We start from the raw sequence: 26,333 nt of genomic DNA on the forward strand, positions 1-26,333 counted from the left end.
CCACCACCTCTACTCCCCGCTAAGCCAAGTCATCTCATTATCTTGTTAGCATACAGAAAGACACTCATCACTCCAGAGAGTCCAAGGATCTTAGAAGCTCTTGTGTCAGGAACAGGGGACTAAGACCAAATACTTTAACAAAAGATGCTATCACCTCTATTAGTTAGAAAATTATGACAGTTTTAGCAGCTCTGTTCCAGGAACTGAGGGTGAAGACCAAATATGTCTTTTTCTTATTATATTATCACAACATTCAATCTTGCTTTGAGGATCAACCCAATACTTGTACCTGAGAGGGAAATGTAAACTTATCAATGGAATTAGGGAGTTCTTCACACCTGGCACCACTGTCAACACCTTCTCATTTAATGATAGGCAAAGGGACTCAAAGAACATCAGAAGTAAGGAGTGGAGGACTGGGCATGGTGGTTCAAGCCTGTAATCCCAGCACTTTTGGAGGCTGAGGCGAGAGGATCACTTGAGCCCAAGAGTTCTGTACCAGTGCACTCCAGCCTGAATGACAGAATGAGAACTCATCTCTTTAAAAAAAAAAAAAAAAAAGTATGAGTGGACATGGGAGAAGAGAAACTGTCCCTTTGGTAATTATGATTTATTAAACATAACCATGTTGCACAGAGCCACTTATTTCTCTTAAAAGCCTGTCAAACGTCTTAAGTGGAATTACTTTCTCTTCCCGGGTCACAAAAGCCAGTGGCTCAGGTACAGAATAGATAATAGAACTGATTGGTGAGTAGGAAGCCAAAAGACACACACAGAGAACAGTACAATCTTTTAAAAGCTCCAAGTCATTAGCTTTATTTTTACTGAATTCAGCATGGGATGACAAAAATGCATTATATCACTACCATCCATTATTACATGTAGACATTTATCCTTGTATTCTTTATATGTCCATTTTCTACGTTAAATCTGTTAACCAATACTAATTTAAATTACATGATTTCCTACTAAAAATATGCAGTTCATATAAGCAAGGGCAAATAAATCCTCCTTAAAACATTTTATTCCTTTATAATTGAGAACTTAACAGTCTTAATGGCTAGTTCTTAAAAAATGTTTATAGGATTAAGTTTATTTAAGAGAGCAGACAAACAAAACATATTGTAAAACTAGTATTTTCCAGAAGCAATTTCCATTCTCTTCCTTTCTTCCTGCAAACTGGTGTTTTATCTTTACAAGTTCTCTGTCATTCCATAAGAAAGCTGAACAGTGGTTAAAACATCCAGTTTGCTTGAATTCCTGAGTGATTCAGATTCCAGTGAGATTGAGGGTCATTCATAACAGTTACAAGGCTGGTGTGGTAAAGGGAGAACAAAAATAAACTGGGTTTCTGCAGGTAAGTGAGAAGACAAAATGAAGAGGAATAAGGTTGTAAGGCAGTATGATTAGGCTTGTGGGTGCTATGCCTTCTGATAATAATTATGAACAGAAATAGAAGCCAAAAAGTAAACAACATGTAAGTTGTCAATCTTTGACAGTTGAGGCAGGGAGAAGGAAGGAAGGATGACATTACACCTTATCTCTGGTTTACTAGGCTGGTGTGTGAGACCATTTGGGTGAAATCGTATTGAAATCATTCATTGCTGAGGTGATCAGCTTTCTTGCGGTCCTTTCTCTGCACTCTATTCAATGATAAACTCCACTGGTTTATACCTCCTGGAAAACAGTTATTCAGAAACATTATAGGGGTAGCATTGGTGAGACAGCCAATGGAGAACATGTTTCCAGGTAGCCTGAAACCCAGCAGACAATGTAGCTGTTGCCTAACGAACACAGAAATCTACATTGTATGCCAGGTTCATGCCCCAGACCTGGATGTTCAGCTTGCAAGTAATTCTCACATACTATTTCAACACAACTGCCTACTGCATTCAAGATTTCAAAATTGGCATTTGTCTTTTCTACCACAAGGAAAAGAAAACCAACAGTCAGAAATGCTGGGACTTACCTACTACCAACAAAATTTCCTTAAACCATCATATCATCAAGTTGTCATCATTTAATCATGACATCATGTTGAAAATGCCATCTAAAAGTCAAGAGATGAAAAAGCTGGATGGAAGGAAGGTCGGATAGATAAACTGGTAGGTACGTGGGCAGGTGGGTGGATGGATGGATGGATGGGTGGATGGATAAATGGGTGGATGGGTAGGGGTAGATAGGTAGGTAGGTAGATAGATGAATAGATTGATCTATCCAAATGATACCTTTCATAGGGGGGAAAGAGAAAAAAAGAGGTAAAACAAAAACAGGTAAGAGCTAAAACATGGATAAATATCCAGATTCCTCCCCCTTGTAGTATTGAAAGCAAATAGACCTCATCATTCATAAAACCTTGAAGGTTCCCAAGCCCCAGCTGATAATGTTGGACTTAACACCCTAGAACTTGACTCTCTCCTCTCTCTCTGTCTCTCTCTCTCTCTCTCTCTCTCTCTCTTTGTGTGTGTGTGAGTGTGTGTGTGAGTGTGTGTGTGTGTGTGTGTGTGTGTGTGTGTGTGTGTGTGTAATTCAAGGTAAAGTTTTCATTATTAAAGACTGCCCAATAATCTCTCTCAGGACACTGAAGCAGAAGCTAGAAGATGCCATCAGAGACCCAGTAGCCAGATGTAGCTGCTGATTACGAAAGACAGGATCTACACTGGCTACTGAGCCATTGAGGGTACCTACACCTTCCAGCAGCTGGGTGATCCTTTGCCTTCTGGGGAGGGGCTCTGTGGAAGAAAAAAGAAGATATCAGATTTCAATTGCACATTTTCTTTGGATCATGAATTGACATTTTGACAATATTCCCATGTACGTAATTTTAAACAACCTCTGGATTTATTTACTTATCCAACAGATACTGACTGAGTGACATTAAATAAAGTGCCACATATTTTCTTAGGTGCTGGAGATCCAGCAGCAAACAAAAAAAGTGGAAAATCTCTATACTTCTACAGCATACATGATTCCTTGTGACAAAATCTACAATCAATTATTTGGTATGTTTTGCAGTAAAATGGAAATATACACAAGAGAAAAACAAACAAGCAAACAAAAAACCAATCTACCATTTTATTGTGGCTTGGAGCATTTTTGTTGCTTCCTGTCACTTTAACTTGGGTAATCTAGCAATGATGCACATATGTAAAGTAAATTGCAGTTAAAAAATTCTTTCGTGTTACGAACTGAGGATAATACAGTTATTTTACCAAATATCTCAAACACCAAAGAAAATTACAGAAAATGCATATTATAATAAATATTCAAAGCAGGTGCTCACTAGCATGTCAGTTCCAAGCTTTCCTCCCATGATACAATGAAGGTAACAAAATAAGTCACAGGATTGGTGTTCTCTTTGCTATTCATTTATCCACCCCAGAAATACTTACTGAGTACCTTCAATAAGTACCTTTCAGTACCTTACTGAAATACTTCTGCGTGCTTTATTCCAGGCACTGGGAATGCAACACTGAACAAAATCCTTGCACTCACGGAAGTTTAAGTCTAAGATTTAAGGAAAGGGTAGAAAAAGACTGAAAAAAACCTCCATAGATATGGACGGTCATTTCATAGAGTAATGAAACAGTTAAGAGGAATGCTATTTTCGATAAGGTGGCTAGGAAAAGCCTCACTGAGGGCCTGGCATTTGAGTGGATTCCTGAAGTAGGAGGAGAAGAATCATGTACATACCTGGGGTGGGAAAGGACACCACAGGGAGAGGCAAGAGTCAGAACAAAAAGCACTGAAACAGGAAAAAGCCTGGTATCTTGGACAAGGTGTTCTTTTATTAGCACATGACCACATGGCCAATTATTGTTTCCTACTTTTAGGATTATTCTAGAAGGTAAATGACTATGCAACTTTTCTCCAAGTACACGTCTTAGAATCCTTTGCTGTGAATTTAAAATGCTTCAGCTATCACTTAGAAAAGATTTAATAAAGCTACTGTCAATTGGAAACTAGTACCATTTGATCGGACATGCAGCTATACCACAGTATGACACACACATATTTATCACCAAGAGAAAAGTGGCTTTTTAAAAATGTGTTAGCTATAAGAAAAGATAACCAGCTTTCTGGGAGCTCTAAATATATACATATCTAGGGAATGATTTAACTATTTAATCACAGATGTCTAATTTTAAGAGGCAACTCACTTGCCAAATTATAGTAATAGTGCTTCACCAGTGTGGTTAGCTCTTGGTGGGGGAGGATAAGGGTGGAATTTACAAGGTGAAGCAGGGGTTTTTTTGATTGCTTGCTTTTTTTTCTCTTTAAATAAGTTAAGGCCAATCCCATCTATGAAGTATATTTTGGCACTGCCTACAAACCAGAGCATACATACTGAAGTGGGGGAAAAGACCGTTTATATAGGTTTGGCTAAGTCTTACCCTCAATGTAAAATAAAGCATTTGTAGAACACACAAACTTACATTTCATAAACCACTAAAACTAACTGTTCATAACTCTACTTTTATGAATAAGACTAACAATTAAAGTGAGGCAAGGGTTTAGTGTGGTCACTTTCAATGCCAAAATACAAAAGATTATCTTTTATAAATCTTTACATTTAGATGAGAAAAGGTAAATTTTTAATTCTCAAAGGTATCTATTCTCCACATCTTAGTACTAAAGTTAAGGTGGTCTTTTGCCCCTTGTTTTAAATTTAATCTAGGTAATACAAATAGGAAAATCTGTAAATAAAATTTTATTAAAGGTTATTCTGTAAATTAGTGTCAACCACTAAACAATACTATACAGTTTTAAGTTTATTAAAAACACAAAGAATAGAATATGTAGAATATATAACACCATAGAATATTAACCAATAATGCATTTTCAGTTTAAAAATAAAAGGAAAAGAAAAGAAATAGGTTCAAACTAGAAATGTTGAGTTATATAATTCTGTTATCTAACAATTAAGATGACAACTAAGCCCCAAGGGTGAGTGATAGGACTGTAACCAAGGTACTTCTGCTCAAGTCCTAGTCACACTGCAAACAAACAAAACAAAAATAATAATAAACAAAAACTCCCATACATTCTGGCTAAAGACCATTTATTTGAGGTATGAGAAAGAGTTTAAAGGGAGGGAAAGACTATTAAAAGTTAAGCCTGCCACCTGCTGTTGGAAGGCCTGCTTTGAACTGGGATAAAGACCATTTCTTGAAATGTTAACCTAGAATTTGAAGAGCTTACACTCCACACGGTTAGAACAGGGGCAACCTATACACCAAACCAAGAAGTAAAGAAACCCATTGATGTTTAAAGCTACACTGAGAGAGATAAAAGTCACATTCGCATCAAAGTTCTACTGGAAATGAAAGAAATGCTGCTTCGTGCGTCATTCTACTGAAGGAAGAGTAGAATTACTCTGTCTTTTAAACTGATTACCTGGACAATTCTATTTTGCCCCCAAAAAGCATCTCTGACTTTAGAAATTATCATTTTTAGAAAGAAATTTTGACCCTAGGGACTATATGTGGAAGTAAATGAAGAGAGATGAACGATTTCACAGCATTGCCAGAATGCTAACTTTACCAAGTCAAAATTGTCTAATTCACTGTTTTTAACACAAATGTGAAAGAATCTATGCTTCTTTGAGTAAAAGAACTTCCAGATGCTTTCCAGTTCCATGATTTTCTATAACCTCACAAAGTCTGGCCCCACATGTCCCCCTAAACCCCATCCATGATATTTCACATATTTTTGTTCATGCACCAGTAGTTTTCTGTAACTAAATAGGAATAGAGTCAAATTCTATCACAATCATGTTTAGGGATTTGACAGAGCATAAGCCAGTCCACTATTCTAATGAAGTCAGAGTTTACTTTAGAAGTGAACAAAAACTGCCACCCACAGTGTATATCTCATGTTAAGTGATTCTTAACATATACACAAACACAGACACAAAACCAAAGGGATACAATGAAACTTTGAGAGATGTTGAATACATCCATTACCTTGATTATGGTGATGGTATCACAGGTGTTTGCATATATCCAAACTCATGAAATTTTCCACATGAAATATGTGCAGTTCTTTATCAATTATACTTCAATAAAGCTGTTTTTTTTTTTAAAAAAAGCTGCCTCCCACACCGTTAAGAACAAAAAGTCCAATTAACTCTAACTGTAGGCCAGGGAAGAAATGCACCCATGTATACACAGTGCGCCACAGGGTGAAATTATGCTAGAGGAGAAATCAGCCTTTTAAATACAGGTGTCTAATTAAAGTATGTTCTTATGAACTTGGATTCCTTCTGTGTTATGTTATGTTAGAGCAACTGAGCCAGGGTATCACCATAACCGGGCACGTGGTTGAAACCCGTCCAGCTCTTGCATACCTGAGATCCTGTGACTACACTGACCAAAAACATTTATACCAGCTGATGGTCACTTGATTCTCACATCTCTCTATTTAGTAAATTGCTCCGCAAGCCAACTTGAAGACTGAGGTGAACATTCTCTGGGACGTTCCTGCTGAAGACATTTTTTTAAAAGACATTGCCCCTGCCAGATAATTCTAGTCTGAACAGGCCTCAGAAGGGACTGGTTGGCACAAGATCCTAAAACAAGCTTCTAAAGGTGAAACCACTCAGAGCCCATAAAGACAGACTCAGACTAGTTTTTTAAAAACTAATATTTAACAATTAGGTGCATGCCTTTAATCCTTCTCAACGAAAAACAACATTTTTTAAACAATCAATAGATGAAAACATGAAGCATTTTACTCATTGCAAACACTCAGAGGAAAAGGATAGTTTTAACCTAAGTAACAAACAGTCTTTTTATGGACAAGTTTCAGAAATTAATTGCCCTAAATCCATGTACATATATATCTCTCTTTGTCCCTCTCCCCACACTCTGGAAGAAAACCCTAAGGCATTCTCTACATACAATGTCAGCAGTGTGCAACGATGGTGAGGAATTCTTGTCGTTTTTAAATAAAAGAAAGAGGAAAATAATTTGCATTCCATCAATGATAAGTAAAAACAAAAGAAGGACGTCAAAATAAAGTAACTTCTCTGAGCTTGTGAATAGCAGAAAAACCAGTCAGTTCTCTCAAGAATTCATGACTTAGAGACTTATTTAGTGACAATTAACCCATTACTACTCTATACTATTACCGAGGCCTTTCTGTGGATTTGGTCTCATTTTTAAGCCTTGTGCTATTTTCTAAAGGCATCAACATCGCACATGTCTACCATTGCAACCTTCATTTATAATCAGATCTCTACCAAGCCTCTGCTTTTGGCACTGTACAGAACTTCTTTTGTCATACAATGTTCTTATGGTACAAAATTCTTTGTGTCGTCTTCCTTGAATCTTCCCATCAAGTTTCCCTCTCCTCAGATGGACTGATGGAGGAGCAAAATTCGGCTTCTGAACACTGCCTGACAAGCACTTCCCTCCCTGCAAGGCCCAGCTCTCTTATAGGATGCTAAGGGACCTTCCTGGATTCCTCTGGAAAGTTAGCTGCATACTACTGGGGGCTGGTTCCCAGATCACTGAGTCTGTGGTCTCAGCCAGAAACACAAGACACATTGCTCTTCAATTTGTTTAGAAATGTGTCTCCCTGTGAGAATATGTGCTCTTTGAGGGTAAGAATCAGTCCCATAATTTTGAGATTCCCCAGGTACCAGCATAGTACACTAGATCATAGTCACCTTTTAGTAAATATTTGTCAAATAAAGAAATGTGAGTGAATAGACAGTAAAATGCCTGACACCTATACTGATACATTTCAAAAAACAACAAACACAAACACACACACACACACAGTGGAAGACTATCTCCATTCAGGGAAACTCTTGTATTTCTTCATCCTTTAAACATTTCTTGCTTTCTCTCTTAGTTTTATGGTAGCTTTCTGTAAGATTTGTGGGTGCTTATAAGATCATGCTATTTGTAAAAGAGTGTATGTTCCTTTTAACAGAAGTATGGACTAGTGAAAGCACTGTCTTAGAGTGTGTTTGTGTACCATCACAGGTTTGTAGCACAGAAGGGTCCTCAGGGAAATAAAATCTACTCCAGTAAAATGATAAAACTAAGACAAATGAACAGGTAATGAGGGAAGACCAGAAAGAGAACATCCATATATACAGTTTCTTTTGCTTATGATGGTTATCAGAAGCTCAACCACATTAGGTATCAATTATTATGAGTTCTATGACAGTATGTGGACTTTTAAAATTAAGTGGCTTATATAAATAGCTCACACCACAATGGAAGAGAAAGGAAGATAGTTAGCAGAAGAAGTGTGAAGATTCGGAAAGACTAATAAAAATGATTTTTAAATGATGAAGGGCTAAATGTATTTCCCGCAGATGCTATTTGATGACCTATCAGGTACAAAACACACACACACACACACACACACACACACACACACACACTTCAGCAAAGAGGAACAGGATGAAAACATGGATTCTACTTGTGTAACAAAGAGAAAATGGAAACGCTAATTAAGATTTTTAAAGAAAGAATGTTCTAAAATGTGTTAAACGAAGGGAAAGAGGGGAAATAGATATTTTCAAACTACGAAGAAAGACTACAGTATAAAGACCTAACCTACAAGTCCAGTATTTGCTCCCAGAGTGGCTGCCACACAGTGGACGTGTGATCAGTTCTTCAACAGGTTGTAAGGAAACCTCAACTGTTTTGGAGGAAATAACTCGGTACACCCCAAGGACCATGCAAAGCCTTGATAATAGCACAACAGCATCCTTCTACCCCTTCTTCTCTCCTTATTGGTTGATGCTGGACTGTATTTGTGCTGACAGTGGAAGGTTTTTTGACAACGTATGGACAGTTCTATAGAGCAAAATATAAGTATCTAGAAAAACAACATCAATATAATTAAAAATCAGATTAAAAATTAGGATTCAAAACACTAACAAAGAGGAAAATGGCAAAATATCAAGCACTCAGCTTACAATTGGAGATGGTCTACAACATGACAGTCTGGAATGTAAAAAGGAAGCAGGATATTGAAGAGGGAGCACCACCGCAAGTGAGAAAAGAGCCAGGGAGAGAGACGTCAGTCAATACACCAGAAGAGAAAATGGACATAGGGAAGCCCAATGCCCAGATACTCATCAATGAGGCAAGAGCTTCATGGGCGCCCACTATTATTAACTAGGTAGAATAAGAAGTTTACCAGGTAGGGAAAACCAGAAGGTGGGGAAGGGAAGGAGGCTGAGGAGTAACTCTTGGAGGTTTAAAAAAAATGTTAGAAAAGGTGAGCATCCGGAGTCCATGACAAAGCGAAGATTATTCATAGGCCTGGGCAAAGTCAAGAGATGAAGGAAGGAAGTCTTTCTTCCTGTGCGGGGTGGGGAGAGCAGCAGCAGCAAACTTTATCACTAGGTTGAAAGGGGAAATAACAGAAACAAAACTGCTGTTTGTATTGATGGCAGTCACACAGGGGAAATCTGGTTCCTCTTTCTATGAGTGAAGAAAGAGGTCAGGGGAGGTACTTGGCACTAAAGGATGATATAACCTTGAAAGGACTGGCTCAGGGAGGACAAGAGAATGGTGTGTGTGTGTGTGTGTGTGTGTGTGTGTGTGTGTGTGTGTGTGAAGGGGAGACCTGGTGGAGTGTGAATGGCAATATGCTATGGGAGTCGTTTTCACTCAAAAAGGAATAGCAAAACCCTCTCATACAGAGAAAATGACAGGGCGCAAGGAGCTCAAAAATGAAGAGGAGCCTTCCACTTCTAACAAGAACACACTAGATGTAAATTGGCAATGCTGAAAGAGCAGTGAGTCCCAGAGCCAGAAGGAACTTTCCTAAGGTATCCAGCCCGTGGATAGTCTAAATGTCCCACGTAGATGTGACAAGCCAGGAATGATCCCAATTTACCTAGCTCCAGAATTGCCTGATCTTCTTCTTGACTCAATGCCCCCAACCTCACATTCATCCCCTTGCTTCCCATTTCTAGCTAGTAGGTAACAGCACTGAGCCCGTTCAAATTTCTCACAGACAGTCTCTATTCATTCTGACATTATCTCTCCAGTAAGTCCTACTCTGGTTATCAAACTTTCTGTAGTCTGGAGAACAAACAAATCCCTAATATGGTCATTCTTTTCATGCTGAGAGATCAAACTCATCCTATTACTGGGATCAGTAATAGTAAATGCAACCCTGACACCGACAGGAGAGAGTCGTCAGGTACATTACCACTTTTCTTCACAGCTGCCCCTATGAATGCCATGAAGGACCACGGAATTAGGGATGGAATAAATTCGAGGATTTGATGAAAAACAAAACAAAAAAATAGGGCTCCCTTTGATTGTCATCCTTAGACAAAATTTGATACTCTTTGCACTACCATATGATTATATCCCCTGATTTTCTAAGATTAAAGTCCATTAGAGTTAGAAATTGGAACTCTCAAGCCGAAGTCAAGAAAACAAATCATGTCTGGTTTTAGAGGTGCCAGAATGATACAATGGACTTTGGAGACTTCGGGGAAAGGGTGGGAGGCGGGTGAGGGATAAAATACTACAAATTGGGGCTGCGCGTGGTGGCTCACGCCTGTAATCCCAGCACTTTGGGAGGACAAGGTGGGCGGATCACAAGGTCAGGAGCTCGAGACCATCCTGGTTAACACGGTGAAACCCCGTCTCTACTAAAAATACAAAAAATTAGCCGAGTGTGGTGGCGGGTGCCTGTAGTCCCAGCTACTCAGGAGGCTGAGGCAGGAGAATGGCATGAACCCGGGAGGCGGAGCTTGCAGTGAGCCGAGATTGCACCCCTGCACTCCTGCCTGGGTGACAGAGTGAGACTTGTCTCAAAAAAAAAAAAAACTAAAAATTGGGTACAGTGTATACTGCTCGGGTGATGGGTACACCCAAATCTCACAAATCACCACTGAAAAACTTACTCATGTAACCAAACACCACCTGTTCCCCCAAAACCAACAGAAATTTTAAAAAATTTAATTTAATTTAAAAGAAATCAATATATGAAAAAAGAAAAAAAAAAAAAAAAAAAAGAAGTGCCAGTCGGGACAGACAGAGAACTCTCAGGAAAACTGCTCATTTTGCCAATACATCAAATAGTTATTTAAAAAAAAAACAAAACATTTTCTAAAGTGTGTTAGAGGGCTAGTGAAGAGAGAAGGCCATCGAAAATGATGAAGAATAAGGAGGAGAGATGTACAGGCAACACAACCAAGGAGAAAAGGAGGATGCCAGACATGGGTCAATCTTGTTAGCTAAGTAAACCTCAATGGTATCTGCCTCTAAGCTCTGTTTGGTGAGTCTCTGGGACCCAACTAATGATGGTTTAGTGTCCTTTAAAGAAGAATTTAAAATAATCCAGTACATAGGATTTCTTATTGTGCAACTTTCCAATTCTGAAGGAAGCTATAGGGCAACTAATGTTAACTAAACTGCTATGTCTCCCTGTTGGGTTTGCAAAGCCACTCAGTACTGTGTGATCAGTAACCCAGGAACAAAGAGGGCAGTCACACAGTAACATCAACACCCACTGGGTACACAGAGTTGCCCACTTTTCATGACTCTTCCACGTGTAAGGGTCACAAACTTGGGAAGCTGGTGGCTGTGTTATTACCCATTTAGAAACGGGGAAACAGAGGATTAGAGGGAATTATCATCTTGAACATCTCATATTTTTAAAAAGGAACTCTAATAACTACCTGACAAATTGGTGAGTGAAGAGTCTTAGCCAAACACTCAATGACAATAGTTTGAGGAAGAAGCAAAGTGTAGTAGTTAGAATGGTGATTTCTGAGCAAGAAGATGGGGGCTCTGTATTCCTGGCCAAGTAGCTTGGCTTCTCTGGGTCTCAGTTTGCTGCCAAAGCAAACGAGGATAATACTGATCCTACCTGTAATAGGACCATTGAAAGGATTTCACAGGATGAGGTTTATGAAAATACTTTATAGTTAATAATTCTACATCATATACCTGAAATTTGCTAAGAGAGAAAAATCTTAAAACGTTCTCACCACAAAAGATAACTATGTGAGGTGATACATACGCTAATTAGCTTGATTGTGGTAATCCTTTCACAATGTATACATATACCAAAACATCATATTGCACACTGTGAATATATACAATTTATTTGTCAATTATACCTCAATACAGCTGGAAATACATAAATTTTCATGCACTGTGTAAATATGAGAGATTTATTTCTCCAACAATGATAGAATCTGAAAGTGGGGATTTTCATGTCTTATCTTTGCAATCTGAACACAGCAACTTTGGATGTCTTAGCCACATTGCACGGTAGACTGCTACAGTAAGTTTGTTTAAGTGCTAATGCTTAGAAGTCGGGCAGGCAGCTGGAACCACCATGCTGGAAAAGATACTTCCTGAACCACTTGTTCAAATGCTTTGTAAACAAAAGGGACTAAAGAGATCCCATTTATTATGTTCACTGTTTAACTTTGGTTTCTCATCTGTACTAGAAGGTCGTATTTCTGTCCTCAAACCATTAAAACTCTATCAGGTTCCCCCCTCCCCCCAAGAAATGCTGATTTTGCCAAATAAGGGCATTTTAAAGCCTTCCATCTACTATAACAATGATTTCTTATTTTAAGTTTTTTTTAAGAATTAAGGAATAACTGACATACGATAAACTGCACATATTCAAATTGTATAATTTGATAAGTTTTGACATATATACACCCATGAAACCATCAACACAAGACAGAAATTATCCACCAGCCCGGAAGTTTTCTCGGGCCTTTTTGTAACCCCTTTCTTGCCACCCCCATCTCCCCTACCCCAGGTAACCACTGATCTGCTTTCACATTTTCCAGAATTCTGTATACATGGAATCATATGATATGACTCTCATGGGTTAGGGTCATCCATGTTATTGAAGGTATCAATAGTTCATTCCTTCTTATTATTGAGTAGTATCCATCATACAGATACACCACAATTTGTTTATCCATTTACCTGTTGATAGACATTAGGATTGTTTCCAGCTTTTAGCTATTACTAATAAAACTACTATGCATATTCACGTACGAGTCTTCAGGTGAGCACATGCTTTCTTTTCTCTGGGAGTGAAACAGCTGAATCATATGATAGGTGTATGTTTGACATGTTTGTATCATTTTACATGAGAGTTCTAAATCCTACACATCCTTACCAACAGTTGGCATGGCTGGCTTCTTAAATTTTAGCCATTCAGATAGGTGTGTAGCAGTACCTCACTGTGGTTTTGACTTGTGTTTCACTAATGACATTGAAAAGATTTTTTCTTGTGCTTATCTGCCATTTGCGTATCTTCTGTGGTGAAGTGTCTGTTCAAATCGTTTACCCATTTTTAAATTTTGTTTTCTTATTATTGAAAATGCCATCAGTTTTAATGAGTGGAGCAAGACTGGTAACTGAGAACTGCAACAAAATTTTACAATTCATGATACCCAAGAGGATAAAAAAATTCACAAAGATTATTTTCCAAAACTTGTGTGGAGCGAAAATATTCTCCAAATGTTATGACAAATCTGAACTTCTTTTAAAGCTTGAAAAGGATTTAATGATATTTTATCAGTATTGCTGCTAAGTCTGCACAGGTTCAGACTATTAGTAAACCAAATAAGCATATTTCGATGTACTCTATCGGTACCCAAACCATCTTAACCTCTCCTTCGTGCATTAGTTCAATTACCCAAGCATCTATCCCTAAGCCACATTTCACACTTTGCACTAATTATACTCTAATCCCATAGATTCCATTTTACTAATTATTTCTTATGTCAAATTTGTGCCCACATTCAAAAGGTGATGAAGGCCAAAACCTCTATCGCATTTTTTTATGTCAACAGTAACAGATAAAATGTGATCTACAAGCATGAAGATGAATTCTCCTTTCCGATCCATAGAGAATGCTAGATTTGAGGGCACCTACAGGCTTTGAGGAAAAGCAGGCCCCATTCGGTTGTGTAGAGCCATCGGTTCGTAGCTCAATTGTTACAGTTGATGTGGGTTTCCTTTTAGATGTCTGGAAAATGACTCTGCTGACCACATCCACATTCTGAAATACTTTTTGAGAACTTGTAACCAAACTGCAGGAACTGACTCATTTTGCAGTGCCCAGCCACCACACAATTGTTCCAGAACAGACTCAAGTCAAAGGGAAAAATATGAAGGTCTTAGAACACAGACAGCAAGTTGTCTACTTATATGGGGGGACAACCGGGGGAAATCCCAGAGCACATGGGGCAAAACGGCTCAAGCCCCGGACCAATCTTAGAGGAAGGACCAAACAGAACTCACCACTTCGTGGACAACACATGTGTTTTCCTCAAAGCAAGGGGGTCAGAGGCTGGTAGAAAAAGAAACTTAATGTCTATCTCTTAGACACTAATCTACACTTAGAAAGTAGATTCAGTAGAGAAATGTCTGCAGAAGACTCGGGTTAGATGTTGTCTTGAAAGTCCATTCCTGAATTCCTTGTACTCCCAGCTCCTCTGAGATGGGATGCTCAGTAAGTCAGGAGTATGCCCCTTGTCTTACAGGAGATAAGCCAGCAGGGACAGCATGTCCAAGATGCTAGGCAGAACTGAGGCTGACACTTGAGCTTAGGACCAGAAATTCTCTGGCTCCCCTGGGGCTTCTGTACATCCTCTCCTGGTCCATTTTTACATCTTTCTCTTAATTCCCAATGTGTCTCACCCAAGGGGGTCAGTTTCCCCATGATGTCCCAAATCTTTCTCCCTCTCTCAATGCAGACTTCTTACCTAAGGGGAGGATGAAGAGGAGCAAACTAAGCTCTCCTCCACACAACACTCTATGTTCCCAAATTACTCATTTCTCTACCCCACAAGTGAAACTGATTTAGTCAGTCAGTTTCAGCCAAAGGCGGTGAGGAAATCCGGTCTTGTTGAACTAAACTATAAATGACAAAACCAATAATAACTCTTTTCTGCAGGTGGGTCCCTTGCTAAAAGAATATGAGGGTTAACCCAACCCAAATCTATCATTGACTAATAGAAAGGCTATGTGATAAGAATTAGGTATAGAGTCTCAGGCAGTATTTCAAGTAAGATAAACCTGGACGACACCTATAAAAGGCTATCAAGCCCCTTTCTAAGCCCTGTATGTTGTCGATATAATTACATATACATTTTATGTCTGTTCTCACCCGTGCAATGTCTCTTAACATGTAAACTCCCAGATGACAGAACTTGCCCATTTCCTTAGATTTAGTAAGGGGCATTTAGTATCCGAGTATAATAGTGAAGTAATGACAGGGGGCTGCAATCAAATTATGGCAATCAACTCTACCTTTAAGAAATTACAAAAATGTTTTTAACACAACTTTACAAGAGAAAAGGTACATAAAACAATTTTACCCTTCCCACCTGGCCAATTGCCTTTATTTTTCCACACTCTCTTTGTACCTCCAATAAAATAAGTACTGTATAACAAGACTTCTTAACCTGTACCAAACAGTAAGTTTTCATACAGAATTTTAAAAAGGAGCTTATCATCTGACTGAACATAAAACTAAGAATTATTTTAAAATGAAAGCACTTTAAACATGGATTTAAAATCCCTTCAGTTCAAAATTCTAAACTGCTTGTTACTGAGTGCAAAAATCAGCAAAGATATGCCTTATGGAAGATGAGTTTTTGGCAAATTTAAATCAAATCAAAACATTCCACAGTTAGACATTCAGGTACCCCACATCTCTCTGAGGAGTAGATGTGATAGGAAGAATTGCCCACTTTGCGCTTTTTAGCTGTAATTGTGCTTCAAATAGTTCAACTTTATCTATCTTTGCTAAGGTTTTCATAGCATAATAATTTAAATTACAAAAGTAGCATTTTACTGCAAGAAGGCCTTACACGGCTTGTAAACACTCCAGTTATGAGGCACAAGGGGCTCGACTCTCCGGGATCCCTACAATAAATCACATAGACTCTCAGAATACCATCTTCACTCTCTCTAGTTATCATTTCCTACCTTCCAAACAGCTTCTTACTGTGGCCAACAGAGTCCTACCTGATCTGCCATGATGTGTCTCTTGGACACACAAAGCCTGCTCCCGTCTCTACTGCAGTTACTTTTTTATTTTCTCTGCCTGGAATCCTCTTCCTCCAGACACTCCCACAGCTGATTCCTCACTGGCCTAATAACATCAAAGAGGCCTTCCTATTAGCCCTGGTTAACGTCGCTCTACCCCTGATCCCCAGGTACTCTCTCTCTGACACAGCTTTATTTTTCTCCGCAGTGTTTACTAACACCTGCCGTATACTTATGAGTTCCATCACCATCAGCCTACCCGCTCCATGTGAGCGGGGACTTTATTCACTGCTGTATTACCAGACCCAGAACTCTCTAAGGCACATGGTAGACATGGTAGATGTATAATATATTTTTGTAAAATGTACATTTCCCATGTGGTGTCTTAGTCTGTTGTGCTGCTATAAGCTTATGAAATTTAGTTGGCACCTGAGACAATTTTTGTTAACACCTTACCAAAACTCCAAACGCCTCAAGGGCCAGGTGGACAAGAGCTGTAGGAAAGTGATCACTCCCCCAGCAGTAAAAAAAGAAAGCAGGAAAAAGAACAGTTTCTCTATAATCTCCCTGCTACCCATGCATAGCAAATAAGGGAAGGTCTTTTGGAGTATGGATGTCAAACGGAATGGGGAGAAAGGTAGATATTCACTGTCATTATCAACCTAACTTGTCCTGAGGCCTCCTTATTGGTTTTAACACAGAGAGAGAGAAGAGCCTTGAAATACTGAGACATTCTTTTAGAGTGTGAGTGATTTTGTTTTTGTTTTTAAATCTACTTCAACATTTTCTTCCCTTGGGCCATATATACCCACTAATAATGTAGACTTCACATTTCATGCTGAAAGACAAAGCATTTTCATTGCCTTTGCTGGTATGGTCAAACTTGTTTCAGAAAATGCACAGGTATAGTTTGTGCCATTGAAGACAACTTGAAGAGTGATGTCTTTCAAAAACTATAGGAGGTGATATCAAGATTTAAATAACAAGTAAAGATAATGACTCTGTCTTAAGGAAGCGTATTCCTAACTGCAACATGGAGACGAGTAATATTTTTTGAAAGAATAGTAGTATAAATTCCAAAAGCCCTCCCCTATGTTCATTCCTCATTTTCTATATATTTACTTAGAGATATTTTCAAAAAGTCATAATAAATTTGATTGAGGGCATGGCAACACTTCTTACCTTTAAATTAATTAAAATTCTATTTTAAAATTATTTTTGAAGACATCTTTGTGATGGCCTTTGTTGTCTCTTAATGTTCTTTTATTATAAGCGTAGGCAGGTGAAGCAGCAGGAGTAGAGAAAGAACAAAGCAATCTGTAACTGGTTGTGATCATTAATTGTAAACGCTACTGCACTTAATATCTTTAAACAAGGAAATTATTTGAAAGCATGAGTGCTCTTAGATTATATTTACTGATACGTTCCCTACTATGAACCCTTCTTCCGCCAACATTAAAAAGAAAGAAAGAAAAACCATTTCTCTGCACTGTTTTTCCCTCACAAGCATTTTCTCCTCTCACTTTAAAAAAAGAAATGCAGCTCCCAAAGGAAGATGCTTAAAGACCTTCATGAGTGTTGTGAGTGTCTGTCTGTGAAATATACGTTGTCTCCAAAGGGACAAACAATCAGATACAAGATGCAGTCAGTGAGGTGAAAGGAACATAGAGTGAGTTTATTGCTTCTCCTCTCCCGTCCCCTGATGGACTCTCACTCCCATCCTTTCTTTCACCTATTTGCAGGTAGATGTTGAATGACTTATGCGAGAGTATGGACAAATGAAGGAATGAACAAACAAAGGAAAGAATGAAGGCCGGCATGATTAATAAATCCTCCAAGAGCAGGCTCAGTCCAAGGCCAGGGGATTTTTTTTTTTTTTTAAAGAGACTTCCAAGCACTCTGAACCCACGGGCTAGGATAACATGCCCTCATCTTCTAAGTCAAAATTCTCAATCTACATCAGAAAGAGGAAATTCTCAATGTGAAACCCCTTTCCCATATTCTGAAAATTAAGTCCACACCCAAACATAAGGTTTTATGCACATAGATGGCTTCCTGTACTTCTTTATCTAGAAGTTTTACCCCATCCTCCAGAAAATATCCAGAACTAGATGGAGATAAAGAAGAAAAATATTAGTAAATACAGATTCTTACACATTTCATTTTTCTATGGATTAGTTCTATACCAGCAAGAAGGAATTTCCAGAAAGGTTGATGTAAGTGCATCCCTAGGACTCAAATGCTAACATACTTCTCCCTCCCACCCCCACTTTCAAGTGAAAACATTAGAGAAAAAAATAGGGGAAGTTACATGATTAAACTTGTTAGTATATGAGATCAACTGAAAACAAGGAATTCCCCTCCTGGACTGCAGTGGCCTAATTAAAACTCATAAAACACAAATGACTAAGACTGTTCCCGTTGATTTGTGAAATAAAAAGCAGAAAAAGTTAATTTTGTATTTCAATATTGACAGAGGTAGGCCTAGAAGACGTGACACTTTACAGAATAGAAATGAGAAGACCATTTCCGAGACTTTCAGGTTCAGTCAACTTTTATTCTGCTTTCCTGCCAGAAGTACATGTACTTACCATCTGTACTGGCAACAGCCTATTTGGATTTAGATTCTGGTTCCATGACAGATGAGTGGCCCTAAGTAAGTTCCTTTACCTCTCTGTGCCTCTGTGTGTTCATCTATGAAATGGGCATGATAATTGCACCAATAGTTTGTCATGAGGAAAAATGGGTCGATGCAGGTAGAGCCCTTACAACAGTGCCTGTCCAGAACATGGTAACTGCACAATAAGCGACAGTCACCATCATCAGTGTTTTGCTTAATCTGATGTGAAAAAAAGTCATATCACTTAGCATGGATCTACAGGCTTTAGGACTAAACTGAAGAAGTCTGTTCCTAAAGGGATTTTGGAAGGGAATGCAAGTGTGTTAAGCACCATTACTCCAGGTCCCACAGCATGTGCTTTACATGTGTTATCTCACACAACAAACCTGTGCACTACTTCTGATGCTCTACACTCTGGGGCTCAGGGAAATAGCGGAGTAGCTTACTCAGCTAGCAAGGGGCAAAGGGAGCTTAAAGCACAAATCTACTTATTTCCAAAGCCTGGGCCTCTTAGGGAGTAAACTACTTCAATGGAGGCTGTGAATGGACACCCTCTTGGGGTCATGGGTACCACTTTCACGCACTAACACTCTCTGGAAAATGTCTGAAGCTTTCAAGATTTTTTTCAGGTAATCCGAACTCTGAATGTTCCCTGCAAAGTTTTGCCGGGCGTGTACATATTTACTGTTTCTCTCAACTTTAAGAACTCTAGTCTCACTTCAGATATATTATACAAATCCTAATCAAGAAAAAAAAAAATCAATGGATTTTCACTTTTAAAAATCTTTCTTCCCTCTCCTTTTAGGAAACGCAGAAAAACTAAGCTTTCTTTCAATACCAACACCAACAATGGGCTTTCAATACCATAAGCACATCAGGGGAATTAAACTCTTCCATGGCAGAAAGAGGAGATAATTTAAAATGAAACCTCAGCCTACTCTTCATAGTCTACCTTAAATAGTTATACTATGTTTTTAAAAAGCAAGTTATTACTTTAGTAACCATTTAAAAGAAAGTAACTAGAACTATTTTGTTATAAAGCATAGCTAAGAAAACAAAATGTCCCAATCATTATATTAACTTACAAAAGCATACTAAATTCAACTTTTGTATGTATCTAATCTGTTCCTTTAAGAATTAGTCTAGGCCAGGCGCGGTGGCTCACACCTGTAATCCTAGCACTTTGGGAGGCTGAGGCGGGCAGATCACAAGGTCAGGAGTTCAAGACCAGCCTGGCCAACATAGTGAAACCCCGTCTCTACTAAAAATAAAAAATAAATAAATAAAAAATAAAAAAAAATTAGCCGGGCGTGGCAGTGTGTGCCTGTAATCCCAGCTACTCGGGAGGCTGAGGCAGGAGAATCACGTGAACCCAGGAGGTGGAGGTTTCAGTGAGCCAAGGTCACACCATTGCACTCCAGGCCGGGTGACAGTGCAAGACTCTGTCTCAAAAAAAAAAAAAAAAAAAAAAAAAAGAGAGAGAAAAGAAAAGAAAAAAAGAACTAGGCTAAAGAAAAAAGATCAACTAAAATGATGCATTTACATAACCACATTGTTTATAGTTAATAATATATGTGGGGGTTTTTTTACTTTATGTTTTAGATTGCCCTAAATATGTTGGAAAGAATAAACTAGAATAAATATGGGGTTGAAAAACAAGAGGTTAGAGTTGAGGATTTTAAGAACTTGAGTCAGGAAATATTCAAGGTTAAATCACTTACAGTCTTTAATGTGTAGAATAACTGTTTAATAATTGATTTATTTTTCAAATGAAAACAGTAGGAAGTAGGTAGGTTTAACAGGTCTTACTCCCAAAACATGTCATATACAGTTACCCAGTTGTCTATTTAAATTGAAGGTAGTTCATAAAATGCAAGTGTTTACTTTGCATGTTCTCCTTAGTAACTTAATCTTCTGGATTTGTTACCCAATGATTATATTCAAACTTGGCTCAATTTCCCCTCCTGAATGAAGACGTCTATTCTCCAAATTCAGACTGTATAACCAGTACAGCTTGTTTAAGAAAAATAAATATGATAACTAATAGTAAAAAAAAAAAAAAAAGGCAAAAAATCATTTATTTACAGCAGTCTGAGATTGATAGGAGGGAATGAGTTAGAAGATGAGCATCAAAAAGAAATAAATCTAGGACCTTTAAATGTATTCAAAGAAAACAATACTGCTAGTGTCTAATTAAAATGTCAAATGAATAAATAAGTAAGACATACAATATGTCAGACAGAGGCAAGTGCTAAGAAGAAAAATTAAGCAGGAAGAAGGATAGAAAGCTGGGGAATAGAATGGGGAGGTTGCCATCAGTTTGAAATGAATTTTTTTATCCCTAGAAACATATAGGGACTTGAGACATGCCTTATATACATTTTTTGAGAAGTACTGTTAAAGGTATCCTTTTGTGAATTCAAAGAGTCATGCAGCTGAAGCTCCATGGGCTGCCTGATTTCTGCCAAGAGGCTCTGCTGTGTCCCAGTGTAGTTCCCAAGCCAGGGAGCTCACAACCTTGGAGGTGACCCATGCCCTCTTTATTGATTCCACACCTCCTGCTGGGTAAGGGGTCTAAGGAATGTCTACAAAAACGTTTTTCCCACTGTTCAAGGAAACTTCCTTAGGGTTAAGGAAAGAGTTATTTCCTATGTCTTAATTTTTCAAGATGAAAAAGTCGGGCTGATTTACTGATGGAGATCACCTTGGGAAGCCTGTGAGGAGAGTTCAGACCCCTGGAATTCCTACACTCCCACCCAGGAGAACCTGTTATAAGCATTCAACCACAGCCCCGGCTAATGACCATAGTGGTGATACCACCAGCTCTTGATCGTAGGAGGTATAGGGTGACTATGAATAAAGTAAATCACTCAAACACCCCCTCTGACTCAGTTAAGAAGTCCAGTGCCACATCTCCAGTCCTCTCTTGTACCTGCATCAGAATCATTAAGAGCAGATTGGAGCTAGACTGTCTGCTTTCAAATCTTGGCTCCGCTACTTCCTGTATACTGTTTTTGTGAGTTAAAGAATTTAATAAGTGTAAAGCAGTTCCTACCAAAACGTGTCTACTAAGTACCTACTATGTGCCAGACACTGTTCTTAGATGCCAGTGATTCATTTAGAATGGTACCCGGCATATAATATGAACTCAATGTATGTCAGTAATTATGGGTCCACAAATGCTTACCTGACACTCAGATTGATTATTATTATTATTTTATAAAGGTAATAGGTTGACTATTCAATATAGTATATAAACCTCTAGGGGAGTCTGGAACAATACTCCGTGATCAAACACATTAATACTTCTACAGTAAAACATACAAAGATTCATTCTGAGCGAGCTAAACAAAGACTATCATTAGCTTCACATCAGTTCAGGTCAGGATTTGCTGCCAAATTTGTTACATGAAAATCTTTTGATTTTCAGAGCTTTTTGGATTACAGAAGAGATGGTGGGCATATATTTATTAAGAGACTAACCCCACTGAAATCTTTTTCTTTCTAACTTCAGGAGGTTCTAGCAACCAAATAAATAGTTAAAACTATTTAGGAGTAGGAAATAGGAAGACCTTCAGACATGGAAAATCAACAACTGCATAATTAAGCTATGCCAAATATTAGTCTGAACAATCCCTCTCCTCAAATACAGTGCTCCATAGATTCTCCATTGACAGACATTTCCACAAACAACAGGTCTCAAACAATCTTTTTCTAAGTACTTTTCAAAAGCACTTTTTGAATATAGAATAAAATACTTAAATTTTATCACTATTTTAATAGTACAACCTTGTCTTTCCCATAGAAAAAAGACAAAAGCTATTAAATGACAAATGAACAACTGGTTTAAAAACATGTGCCTTAAAAGAACACAGTATCCTCTGTAGTCTGCCTGGGGGAGATGAATAAACGTTATGCCAAAGTGGTAAACCATCCTGCTACCAAAGGAATTTTCTCCACATTGCATTTTAAGGAAATTCACAGCTCTTGAAGAGCTATACAATAACTGGTTCAAGATGTTCTCACTGCTGGTCAGCACTGGATAAAGGATTTGCAGAAACCCATGGAAGCCTATTTCTCTTGCCTCTTTATTGCCCCCATGTGTTGTTATTTATCTTCCCCAACTTTTCTGACCCTTTCCATGTATTTTTTTAATTGAAGTATTGCTTTGTTCAAGACCTATGTTTACCACTCCCATGGCGATCCTGTACACAAAGACAAGTCAGGAAGACATGAAACGAACGGAGATACTTATGTTGCTTCATGGTTTTTCCCCTTCTCATTATCCTCCTACTCAATGAGACTATAGTGGGAGGTCTGAATGACATTTCCAAACCAAGAACTTAAAGCTACATTTCAACACCCAACTACTCAGTTGTCATAGGAACAACACTATGAGGCTTATCTGGGTTCTAACAAACAGCCACTTGTTTCACTAATGATTAAAACTCCCCCTTCAAATCAAATATAGACACCCATACATATACAGACCTCAAAAGAAAAATTTAATTGGGTAAAACTGTATACTACACCAAAAACTTAAGAAACAAGCCCAAAGGGAAAGCATTTACGTTCCCGAACATGCAAATTCAAACACTATTTCAGAGAAATTATTTTGAGGTCTGTCTCTTGACCAGATCCCTTCAGTTTGTTGTTTTACACACCCACAAAGACAAAGGCATATGCATGGCATTAATATCTTTTAACAGGGTATACGAAAATGTGAATACTCTCAATGACCCCAGAGGAGAATTCAGAGCAAGCAATGCTACTCACTTTCGATGTACTTTTAAAAATTAACAAATTGAGAACAGAGAACGGCAAATAGAATTGAAAACATGAAGTTCTCAGTTAATTCTTCTGGGATATACTTTCTAGCATTTACTGTTCCAACCTGTTTCTATCACATTTTGTCATTCAAAACAATGGATTTTAAATGGATGAGGAAAACCTAAAAATTAGAGGCTTTTTTCCAACAGGCACGGCAGTATTTATCCAGATTATTAAATCATCATGTTCTCCCCAAGTATTTACTTACATGAAATACAGAGTTGAAAACATAAGCTAGCAGTTGAATATAAATTATCTGTAAATACCTTAATGCTTTGTTGCCATTTTTCTGTCTTCAAGACTCTAAAAACCTATAAATTCATGTGCTTCAAGAAAACTAATGCCATTCCTTAATTAAGTCAAATTGACTTGTCATGTTCACAAGTTTGGATCACCCGTTTCCTGACTTATTGGAGGACCTGCCCTTAAGAGCCGTGCTTATCTTGTCTTTCTATTTCTTTAAGAATAAATACTTATGCAAAAGTCTTGAGAGCTGCTAGTCTGAGAAAACTGATCTCAAAAGTTATCCAAGTATACAAGAGGGGGAAAAAACAATTAATATATCTCACTAGATTCATCTCCCTCCCCCACCCTCATCCCACTCCACTGCTAAGAGAGAGAAATTTCAGCACTGCTATCCTGTTTTATTATACATTTTCCCTTTTGAGTTAAGGATTTTAAGATTTTGAAAGTAACAGAACAGGAACCAAAAGTAGATTCAACTTCCAATTTGGCTTAAAAAGAAAGAAATAATTATTATTTCCTATATTACCCAAAACTTATTCTGTTAATAACAGTTATAATTATATATTCAAATTAATAAATGAAGATTGCTAAAATTGCCTATATACTTGTTAGCAGTTAAAGAAGAAAAATTTTTTCCATTTGCTTCTATAAGTAGACATCACATGATTACTTCTATTGACCAATAAGAAACTAGTAAAATCAGGCAGTCACCCACCATTCTTTTCTAATGTTCTTTTTCTTATTCTATTCAACCTTTTCAGTATATTCTTAAGAAGCCAAATCAAGAAATTAGACATTCATGCCTAAAATAAAATTGCGTTACCTTATACATCATGAACAGGAACCTGTTGTATATAACACGGGTATTCAAAGCTTTATTGTCTTTTTCTAGAACCCTTTAACATAAAGGCAGCTCAGATTCAAGATTAGAAAACTGAATTCAACAGGCAGGAACACGCATACGAAACCAGTAAGAACTACTAATCACGACCTCTCAAAATGTCATGAACCATATAGATAGAAATAACCCCCCTTTTGCTGTACTAATGTAATCCAATAGAACAAACTTAAAATTCGTGACACAAATGTAAGAAACAAAAAACAAAAATCTATTGCCATTGTAATCTACCCTTCCCAATCAGGAGAGGTGTTTCCGACGCATTACTTGAACTTTCATTTTGTACAACTTTCATCTTGTAAGGTTCTAACTAAATACTTGACATCTTAATGCAGAGGAAAGGAAAGGAGGGCAAGTAGACTAATTCTGAAAGCATCCCTTCAAATTTCATACATGCTATTCAGACTAAATGGAAATCTACATCCATGGAAAGTTAATGTCGCAATTCTACTAAACAGCCCATTCTGATTTTATGTTTCTCCTCCACTAACAAGAAAAAATAAAACAACCAAATCTAGCTGTATTACATATGTTTAGCTAAACTGATAGCACTCAGCTCATTTTTGTTAATTACCTGGCTTCTTCTCAGTCTTTATGCGGTATTCTCGTGCTGCTCTTTTTTAGAACTCCTCACTGTTTATGTGTTCTCTGTTCAACACAGTTGTTAGGGGTCTGTGAACAATTTTTCAATTCCCACACACGCATATGATATCTATTAGGGAGCAATGCCACTTTTCACTTACCAATTCTGGATAAAGGAGTATTTCCTGGTGACAGAATGCTGCTGCTTCCGTTCACTAAAACTCCCTCTTCGCAGCTTGATAAATCTGATTATAAAACGTCTTTGTTCCAGATCACACGAGGCGCTTTTCCTACAAAAGTTTTCTAAAGAGTTATCTGCATTTCATTCCTGTGACAAAACAAATCAGAACAAGGGGGGTGGGGGGGGGAACAGGGAATAAGTCCACACAAGTTCCTGGCAAAGATTTTAAGCTGCATTTTTCTGAGTTTAATCAGTAACCTATATTAAAGTGACAGTTACCAGTTCAGGAAGCCTAGAGTTTGATCAAGTCGGTCACAACCACTTTGAGAGTCTTCCACTGGTGTGCGGACTCCAAGAAAGCAGTCACTTGGTCATCTATCACATGTGGCTGAATCACTGGACAGACCACCCCCGCCCCACACACCCCCAGCCCCCGTTGAGCAGCAGCCCAGGCAGGAGAGTGGCCGGACGCCCGACCCAAGACCTCTTATAGGGACCCGCCAATTAGCTGCTGACCAATCGCAGCCAGCACCTAGTACCTAAGTCACATGATAGGGCAGTCCCTATGACTGCAGGATTTCTGAATTACTGGGGTTACACAAAGGACACTCATTCAGGAAAAGAGAAAAAAAGCCATAAGCCGAAACAGAAAACGCCCAGGCTGCGACAACTACGGCTTTAAAACAGGGAACACCCCAGCCTCACACAGACAGAGAAAGAGCCACAACCAAGCCAGGATGAAAATCAGAAGAATGTCTGGCACATATTAAAAAATAATCCCAAAGCAGACGCTGAGTTTACAAACCCACTTCAGCTATAAATCTACTCCTCCTTCCCCTTCCTCTATAGTCTCCAATAATTTTACATTCTAAACTTTTTTATTTTAAAAAGCTCCAGTGAGCCTCTGCAAAACCGCTGTAAGAAAATGTGCGAGACACATGAGCCTCTCTT

At 38.2% G+C, this 26,333-nt stretch overlaps 1 long non-coding RNA gene and 2 other non-coding genes across 3 annotated transcripts; all 3 read right to left on the minus strand.

The window, feature by feature from the left end:
• Positions 1-790: 790 nt before the first annotated feature.
• On the minus strand, positions 791-25,844 carry MIR222HG (miR222/221 cluster host gene). The gene is made up of 2 exons (NR_170290.1): positions 25,662-25,844; positions 791-25,529 (listed from the first exon to the last, which is right to left on the minus strand). It is a non-coding gene; the product is annotated as a miR222/221 cluster host gene (long non-coding RNA).
• MIR221 (microRNA 221) lies at positions 1,734-1,843 on the minus strand. The gene has a single exon (NR_029635.1). It is a non-coding gene; the product is annotated as a microRNA 221 (primary transcript).
• MIR222 (microRNA 222) lies at positions 2,592-2,701 on the minus strand. Its single transcript, NR_029636.1, has one exon. It is a non-coding gene; the product is annotated as a microRNA 222 (primary transcript).
• Positions 25,845-26,333: the final 489 nt, after the last annotated feature.

Source organism: Homo sapiens, chromosome X (assembly GCF_000001405.40).
Source record: "Homo sapiens chromosome X, GRCh38.p14 Primary Assembly".
NCBI classification, from domain to species: domain Eukaryota; kingdom Metazoa; phylum Chordata; class Mammalia; order Primates; family Hominidae; genus Homo; species Homo sapiens.